Source organism: Homo sapiens, chromosome 3 (assembly GCF_000001405.40).
Source record: "Homo sapiens chromosome 3, GRCh38.p14 Primary Assembly".
Lineage (NCBI taxonomy): Eukaryota > Metazoa > Chordata > Mammalia > Primates > Hominidae > Homo > Homo sapiens.
Genome location: NC_000003.12, coordinates 175,976,684 through 175,986,771, shown reverse-complemented (window position 1 = coordinate 175,986,771; position 10,088 = coordinate 175,976,684). Strand labels below are relative to the sequence as shown.

General features: G+C 36.1%; 1 pseudogene, besides 1 other annotated feature; it reads left to right on the top strand.

Moving 5' to 3' along the window:
* Positions 496-1,023: an enhancer, noted in NCBI's record as "NANOG hESC enhancer chr3:175703537-175704064 (GRCh37/hg19 assembly coordinates)". NCBI's record gives its function as "activates a minimal SCP1, AML or CMV promoter by ChIP-STARR-seq in primed H9 embryonic stem cells {active_cell/tissue: H9 hESC(primed)}" and the evidence as "EXISTENCE:reporter gene assay evidence [ECO:0000049][PMID:30033119]".
* Positions 8,197-9,286, top strand: ACTG1P23 (actin gamma 1 pseudogene 23; annotated as a pseudogene).

Here is a 10,088-nt window from a genome sequence, read left to right as displayed (position 1 = left end):
GATACAGAGAGATCTATCACACAAATGGAAAACAAAAAGGAGTAGAGATTTCTATTCATGTATTGGATAAAACAGGCTTTTTATCAACAACAGTAAAAATTGACAAAGAAGGCCATTACATAATAATAAAAGGTTCAATTTAACAAGAAAATTTAACTATACTAAATATATAAGCCTCCAACATTGGAGCACCCAGATTCATAAAACAATTACTTCTAGACCTTCAAAAAGACTTAGGCAGCCACACAATAATACTGGGGAAGTTCAACACTCACTGATATCATTAGGACAGATTGTTGAACCAGAAAACTAACAAATAAATTCTCCACTTAAATTTGACACTTGACCAATTTGACTCAATAAACATCTATGGAACACTCCACTCAATAACCATAGCATATACGTTTTTCTCATCTGAACATGATGATAATGTAAGATAAACCACAAGCTTCGTGATATAGCAAGTGTCAATTCAAAAAAATGGAAATCATACAAAGTATATGCTTGAACTACAATGAAATAAAAATAGAAATCAACACAAAGAAGAACTCTCAAAAACTACACAATTACATAGAAACTAAACAAATTGCTTCTGAATGACTTATGGGTAAACAATGAAATTAAGGCAGAAATCAAAATATTCTTTGAAACAAATGAAAGCAGAGACACGAATATCAAAATCTCTGGGATGTGGCAAAAGCAATGTTAAGAGGAATTATTATAATGCTAAATGACTATTTGAAGAAGTTAAAAGATCTCAAATTAACATCACAATCAAAGAAACTAGAAAAACAAGAACAAACTAATCCCAAAGCTGGCAGAAGAAAAGAAAGCACAGCAGTATTAAATGGAATTGAGACCCCAAAAACTATACAAAGGATCAAGGAATCAAAAACTTGGTTATTTATTTGAAAGGATAAGAAAGATCATTAAACCATTAGCTAGATTAATAAAGAAAAAATGAGAGAAGAGCCATATAAACACAATCAGAAATGACAAAGGTGACACTAAAATCCGTCCCAAGAAATACAAAATATCCTCAGAGACGACTATGAACACTTCCATGTACACAAACTAGAAAATCTAGGGGAAACGGATAAACTCCTGAAAACACACAACCTCCTAAGATTGAATCAGAAAAAAGTTGAAACCCTGGGCAGACCAATAATGAGTTCTAAAATTGATTCAGTACAAAAGAAAAACCTACTGACTATAAAAAACTTTGGACCAGGTAGATTTACAGCAGAATTCCACCAGATGTACAAAGAAAAGTTGGTACTATTAATGCTGAAACTATTTTATAAAATAGAGAGGAGAGATTCCTTTGTAACTCACTCTATGAAACCAGCCTCATCCTGTAACCAAAATATGGCAAAGACACAAACAACAAAGAAAACTACAGGCCGATATCTACTATGAATGTAGACACAAAAATCCTCAACAAAATACTAGCAAAGTGAATCTAGCAGCATACCAAAAAGTTAATTTATTATGATCAACTGGGCTTTATTACTGGGATGCAAGATTGGCTCAACACATGCATCTCAATAAATGTCATTCACCACATAAGCATAATTTTTAAAAAACTAACATTATTATCCCAATAGACTCAGAAAAACCTTTCAATGAAATCCAACATCCTTTCATGTTAGAAACCCTCAACTAACACAGCATTGAAGAAACATATCTCAAAATAATAAGGACCGTCTATGACAAACCCGCAGCCAACATCATACTTAATGGGCAAAAATAGAACCATTCCCCTTAAGAATTGGAAGAAGATAAAGATGCCCACTCTAACCACTCCTATTCTACATAGTATTGGAAGTCCTAGCCAGAGCAATCAGTGAAGAGAAAGAAAGACATCCAAATAGTAAAAGAAGAAGTTATTTCTTTTCACTGACAATATAATTCTATGCCTAGAAAACCCTAAAGACTCCACCAAAAGGCTCCTAAAACTGACAAATGACTTCAGTAAATTTTTAGGATACACAATCAATGTACAAAAATCAGTAGCATTTTAATACACCAATAACATTCAAAGCTGAAAGCTTAAGCAAGAACACATTCCCATTTACAATAGACACAAGAAAATAAAATACCTCAGAACATATCTAACTAAGGACATGAAAAATCTCTACAAGGAGAACTATAAAACACTGCTAATAGAAATCATAGATGACAAAAGCAAGTGGAAAAAATATTCTGTGCTCATATATTGAAAGAATCATCATTGTTAAAATGGCCATACTGCTCAAAGCAATCTGTAGATTTGTTGCTGTTTCTGTCGAACTACCAACATCATTTTTCACAGAATTAGAAGAAACTCTTCTAAAATTTATATGAAACCAAAATAGTCAAATAGCCAAAGCAATCCTAAGCAAAAAGAACAAAGATGAAAGCACCATCATTACCCAACTTCAAACTATACTACAAAACTACAGTGACCAAAACAAGAGGGTACTGGTACAAAACTAGAAATATAGACCAATGGAACAGAACAGACAGCTCAGAAATCAAGCAGCACACCTACAACTATACGATCTTTGACTAAGTTGACAATAACAAGCAATGGGGAAAGGACTCCCTATTCAATAAACGGTGGTAGGGAAACTGGCTAACCACATGTAGAAGAATGAACCTGTAGTTCCCTTACCTTAACTTAAGATGACTTAAAGATTTGAGACCACCAACTATAAAATTCCCAGAAGAAAACCTAGGAAATACCATTCTGGACATCAGCTTGGCAAAGAATTTATGGCCAAGTCCTCAAAAGCAATTGCAAAAAAAAAAAAAAAAAAAAAAAAAAATTGACAAATGGGACCTAATTAAATTAAAGAACTTCTATACAGCAAAAGAAACTGTGAACACATTCAATGGACAATCTACAGAATGGGAGAATATATTTGCAAAGTATGTATCTGACAATGAGCTAATACTCAAGAATCTATAAGGAACTTAAAGAAGTCAGCAAGAAAAAAACAAATAACCCTATCAAAAAGTAGGCAAATGACATGAACAGACACTTCTCGAAAAAAGACACACAAGCAGCCAACAATCAAATGAAAAAATCCTCAACATCACTGATCATCAGAGAAATGCACATCAAAACCACAAAGAATTACCATCTCATACCAGTCAGAATGGCTTCATTAAAAAGTCAAAAAATGACAGATGTTGGAAAGGCTGCAGAGAAAATGGAATGTTTATACACTGTTTGTGAGAATGTAAATAAGTTCAGTCACTGTGGAAAGCAGTTTTGAGATTTCTCAAACAACTAATAATAGAACCAGCTCTCCCATTTGAACCAGTAATCCCATTACTGCATATATACCCAAAGGAAAATAAATCATTCTACCAAAAAGACACATGCACTCATATGTTCATCATAGCACTATTCATAATAACAAAGACGTGGAATCAACCTAGATGCCCATCAACAGAGGCTTGGATAAATAAAATGTGGTACATATAGACCCTTTTTATAAGCAGCAATAAAAAAGAATAAAACTATGTCCCTCCCAGCAATACGGATGCAGCTGGAGACCATTATCCTAAGCAAATTAACACAGAAACAGAAAATCAAATACAGCATGTTCTCACTTAGAAGTAGGAGCTAATTCTCGGGTACACATGTACGTAAAGATGGGAATAGTAGACACTAGAGACTTCAAAGGCAGAGAAAGGTCTGAAAAACGTTCTATTGGATAGTATTTTTACTATCTAGATGATGGGATTGATAGAAGCCCAAACCTTAGCATCATGAAATCCACCCTTACAACAAGTAGTCCCAAATCTAAAATAAAAATGAAAATTAAAACCAAAACATAATCACTACCTGTATAATTGATAAAATCACAATGCAGTAAACGTTTTTGGTGTCCATTTAAGTAATTTACTGAAAGTTTATATGAAAATTTGCAAAAGTCTGTAGCATTATTAAAGTGAAGCATATTTATACATGGAAGAAAAATGGAAAAGAAAAGAAGAGCTATCAAAAAAGAATGTCACAATTAACCAAGTAACTTTAAAAGTGATATTACGTTACAATGTTAATAAATGACTGCACTCTATAAATGTACTTTTTATGATAGGATATTTAATTACCTATTAAGCTGTATTGGCCACTTTGCATCAATAATCAAGTCAATAATCTGCAACTTTTAAATTCCCTTAACATGAATTTACGGGATACACTCCAATAGCCCCAAGACTTTTTGGTCTATTGGACCATTGACCTGAAATTTACTAAACTGTCAAATGCATATTTACATGAGAGACTGGAAAAGCTTTTGCACCAAGTCAATGACCTACTTCTTCAAAATGCTTAAGAGTACATTTACATGAAAGAACATGTTCTTTTCTTTTTCTTTATTTTTTTTAACAGCTTCAGTATGTATTTCCTTTAGAGCAGAGGAATTATGCCCTATTTTGTCAGTAATGTATAGTATGAAACAAAGCTTGATAAAATAAATTTTATGGGCCCAGTAGAAATATTATCATACTAGTAGGATAATATTACCATGTTTAAATAAACTCACATTCATATTTTTTTCTATCTGACAAATAATACCCTTATTTAGGCCCATCTTCCTAAACTAAGTTTTAGATAAATATTTGCTATATTTTGTTATAATAAAAATACTTTGAGATACATTAATTACTAATTGACTTTGTAGCATATTTCCCCACAATATCAACTGAATTTTCTCATATTAAACTATTTAAAGTACCACATCCATTTTCTGACACAATTGTGATAGCATATGTAGAGCTATTTAAAATTTCTATTGCAGAGATTAATAGATCTGGAGAGGTAGATTATACTGATTTTACTTTCTTTTACTTTACAATGAGAATGTTAAATTAGTTAAACCATATAAAAGACCTAAACTATACCTAACTTCAGTTGAAAGTTTGATAATTCAATTTTTCCTGTGCTCTAACAAACTTTAGAAAAGAATCAAAAAGTAAAAATATTACATAATATGGTTTTGGGTTGACTGAATTTTTTTGTTTCAATCACAGTTTACCTAAGACTCATTTTAGTTTTTAAACATTTGTTGAAGATTTTTGAAAAATACATCATCAATTATATTTATTGCTTAGTTAGATCCCTAATGAGGCATGAAATAAAGTGAGTGAGGCAAAAAGATTTTGATTTTTTTATTAAAATGTTTATTTTTATTTGAATACCTATAATCATTATACTACACATGTAAAAGATTTAATTTATATACTTTACACTGAAATTTTGTTCTTTTCACTATTATTATTCAATACCAGCTAATTGAATTATTTTGGCAATCAAATATTTAACACAGAAAATGATACAGGTCCATTGAAGATTTTTGTTTCTTTCTTGGTTATAGCAGTTTAACATCTTGGGAATAAAATTCATAAGCCAATTCTTAATAGTGCTTTACAAATAAAAGTGATTTTTAGAATATATACCTAAGTTAGGAATATATACCTAAGTTAGGTATAATAATTAGGCCTCTAAATTTCTAGAGTCAGAAATGCTGAACTTTTGAAACCTCTGTTGATAACCATCTTAAAGCAGGTCAAAATTTGCTACATAATTACTTGGCAAAATTCCAGTACATACATTTTGGAAAAGCGTAATATCGACTTTTATTTCTCCTATCCTGGGTGGTAATAGAACTTGTAGTATTTGAGAAATGTGTTATATTTCTGTCAGTCAGGCCCGACCTGTCTCCTGTTTTATTTAAACTTGACTAAGGAAAGTAAATATGGCCATTCTGTTTCCAATTTCAAAAATATTTCTACTGAGCATCAGAGTTATGCAGTTTTCTCCCCCATCTTACTACATAGTTCCATTTGCATCATCCAAATTCTTTCATTCCTGTACTAACAGCCATGCCAGAAACTCAGTAATGGAAATAAAAGAGGTGGCTGCATCCAAATTATAATCTTAAACACCAAAGTTGTGTTTACATCAATTCTCTTTGCTGGTGAATTGTATGGAGGGTGGATTCAGTCTGAGGCAGGTCTGCCGTTAGATTTGTCTAGTGTCACTTGCTTATCTCCCATATAGAAGCAGTTCACAAAGCCTTGAGTAGATTCAGCATAAAAGCAGACTATTACCTCAAGCCAGAAAAGGATTTTTTAAGTACTTTGCTATCTGCTGATAAAGGAATTCTAAGGCTTTAAATCTTGCATTATTTATGTACTACACAGCCCATGAAGAAAATGATCTGCCACAGCCTTAAGGATGAGATAATAAATTCTTTAGCTTCAAGGTAACAAAATAAAAATGCCATGATCTTTAGCTAATAATCTCTTGTAAGAAAGGTCAATAACTGCTAGAGAAAAAGAAAGGCAAGTTTTAAGTCTATGACTGAATAAAATCTAATTTTGAAAAGGTTTTGTTTTATTTTGTGTTTTGTTTTATTTTGTATTTCATCAAGTAGAAAATGGGCCTGTGCCGGGCGTGGTGGCTCACGCCTGTAATCCCAGCACTTTGGGAGGCCGAGGCGGGCGGATCACGAGGTCAGGAGATTGAGACCATCCTGGCTAACACGGAGAAACCCGTCTCTACTAAAAAAAATACAAAAAATTAGCCGGGTGTGGTGGCAGGCTCCTGTAGTCACAGCTACTTGGGAGGCTGAGGCAGGAGAATAGCGTGAACACGGGAGGCGGAGCTTGCAGTGAGCCGAGATCACGCCACTGCACTCCAGCCTGGGTGACAGAGCGAGACTCCATCTAAAAAAAAAAAGAAACAAAAGAAAATGGGTCTGAAGTTATTGTATCAATAAAGCATTTAGTCATGCATTACTTAGTGATCAAACATTAGAATTAATATACTAAACCATAGATATTACTCAAATATTTGAAGCATAGTCCTTGAATGCCCAAGTCGTTTTGTTTTTTATTACATACCAGTTAACCATTGGTTACAGAAATTTCCACCCACATATAATATTTAAATAATGTAGCAAATGAAATTGAACATTGAAAAATAATAACCAGAAATAAAAAACTGTTGGCAGTAAGAAGACAGAAAGGAAAGTACCTTAAAAATTATCTAAAACCACCTCATTTCTCGGAAGAAAAATGATAGAACAGAACAGTATTAGGTAACGATTTAAGAGTTTATGAACCAGTATTAAGAAGAAAACATACTCATGTTAAATTATATTTCTTCTACATCAACAGAAACTTTTTTCTTTCTTTCTTTTCTCTTTCTTTCTTTCTTTCTTTCTTTCTTTCTTTCTTTCTTTCTTTCTTTCTTTTGTCTCTCTTCTTTCTCTCTTTCTCTCTCTTTCTTTTTTTTTTGATAGAGTTTCACTCTTGTCACCCAGGTTGGAGTGCAATGGCACTATCTCGGCTCACTGTAACCTACGCCTCCCCAGTTCAAGCAATTATCCTGCCTCAGCCTCCTAAGTAGCTGGGATTACAGGCATGTGCCATGACGCCCAGCTAATTTTTTGTATTTTTAGTCGAGACGGGGTTTCACCATGTTGGTCAGGCTGGTCTCAAACCCCTGACCTCAGTTTATCCACCCGCCTTGGCCTCCCAAAGGAAACATTTTATTTCTAAAACAATTGGTATAAATATCACAATAAATATATATATGAGTCGAAGTTGCTGGTTTCAAACATTTAAAGCTACTTTGAATTTATTGAAGATTTAAAATAAAATGTTTTTAATTTTAGTACACACACACACACACACACACACACAACTTAATATGGTCATTTGAATGTAAAGCCTTGCCACTCTAGTACATTCGTAGGCTAGAAAAAAGACAAAGTTAACTAGGACACATAAGAATAAGGGACATTTTCTTCTAGAAGAAGCATCAACATTATTAGACTCATATGTCTTCTTTTGTAGCCCATATTAATATCCTGTCTATTTACAGTCACACCAGCTGATTTGGCTTGTAATGTCAGTCAAAGTAACACAAACAGTCTTCTAGTGATAAACAAAAAAAGGGACATATTTAAGTCCTTACATAAATTTTAAGATTCACCTACTATACATGAAGTTATAAGGTAACCCCAAGACTTAAACGTATTATCAACAGAAACATTGAAGATAAGACAATATACAAATACTTAAAAGACATAGAGGACATACAGGAGGACCGCGGAGACTGCGTTTGCCCCGCGAGGACAGAGCCTCCCCCTCGCCGCCCCACCGCCGGTCCACACCCGCAGTCAGCTCACCATGATGATATCACCGGGCTTGTAGTCAGCAAAGGCTCCTGTATGTGCAAGACCAGCTTCGCAGGCGACGATGCCTCCGGGGCCGTCTTCCCATCCATCGTGGGGCGCCCCAGGCACCAAGGTGTGATGGTGGGCATGGGTCAGAAGGACTCCTAGTGGGTGACGAGGCCCAGAGCAAGAGAAGCATCCTGACCCTGAACTAGAACGACATGGAAGATTGGGCACCACACCTTCTACAACCAGCTGCCTGTGGCTCCTAAGGAGCACCCCGTGCTGCTGACCGAGACTCCCTCAACCCCAAGGCCAACCACGAGAAGATGAACTAGATCACGTTTGAGACCTTCAGCACCCCAGTCATGTACGTGGCCATCCAGGCCGTGCTGTCCCTGTGGGCCTCTGGCCGTACCACTGGCACGGTGATGGACTCTGGTGAAGGGTCACCCACACTGTGCCCATCTATGAGGGGTATGCCCTCTACCACGCCATCCTGCATCTGGACCTGGCTGGCCGTGGAGTGACTAACTACCTCATGAACATCCTCACCCAGCGCCTACAGCTTCACCACCACTGCCAAGCAGGAAATTGTGGATGACATCAAGGAGAAGCTGTGCTAGGTCGCCCTGGACTTGGATCAGGAGATGGCCATGCTTGGCCTCCAGCTCCTTCCTGGAGAAGAGCTATGAGCTACCCTACATCCAGGTCATCACCATCTGCAACCAGCTGTTCTGCTGCCCCAAGGCGCTCTTCCAGCCTTCCTTCCTGGGCATGAAATCCTGTGGCATCCACGAAACTACCTTCAACTCTATCATGAAGTGTGACATGGACATCCACAAAGACCTGTACGTCAACACAGTGCTGTCTGGCAGCACCACCATGTATCCTAGCATCGCCAACAGGATGTAGGAGATCACTGCCCTGGCGCCCAGCACCACGAAGCTCAAGATCACTGCTCCTCCGAGCGCAAGTACTCCCTGTGGATCGGCAGCCCCATCCTGGCCTCCTTTCCACCTTCCAGCAGATGTGGATCAGCAAGCAGGAGTATGACGAGTCCGGCCCCTCCATTGTCCACTGCAAATGCTTCTAGGCAGACTGTAACTTAGTTGCATTACACCCTTTCTTGACAAAACCTACCTTGCACAGAAAACAAAATGAGATTGACACATGGCTTTTTTTGTTTGTTTGTTTTTGTTGTTGTTTGTTTGTTTTTTGGCTTGACTCAGGAACAAAGGTGATAGCAGCCGATTGGAGCAAGCATTCTCCAAAGTTCTACAATGTGGCCTAGGACTTTGATTGCACATTGTTCTTTTTTTAATAGTCATTCCAAATATCGTGAGATGCATTGTTACAAGAAGTCCCTTGCCCTCCTAAAAGCCACCACACTTTTCTCTAAGTAAAACGCCCTAGTCTGCTCCTGAGTCCACACAGGGGAGGTGATAGCATTGCTTTCATGTAAATTATGTAATGCAAATTTTTTAAAATCTTCACCTTAATTTTTTTTATTTTGTTTTATTTTGAATGATCAGCCTTTGTGGCTCCCCCTTTTTGTTCCCCAACTTGAGATGTATGAAGGCTTTTGGTCTCCCTGGGAGTGGGTGGAAGTAGTCAGGGCCTACTTGTACACTGACTTAAGACCAGTTGAATAAAAGTGCACACCTTAAAAAAAAAAAAAAAAGACATAGAGGAATAAATACTACCATACATGCAAAATGGGGTTTTGAGCAGAGATGAGCAATAAATTCAGCAGGTTAATATATTTTTGATTGGTGTAAGCAAGCAGTAATGTTTGTTCTGGCACTGAATTTAAGTGAGAATTTATAGAATGAGTCTATGTTTTAGAATTACTCAGGAACATAGTATATAGTTTTGCTGAGATGTTTTTGCAAAGATAGAAAT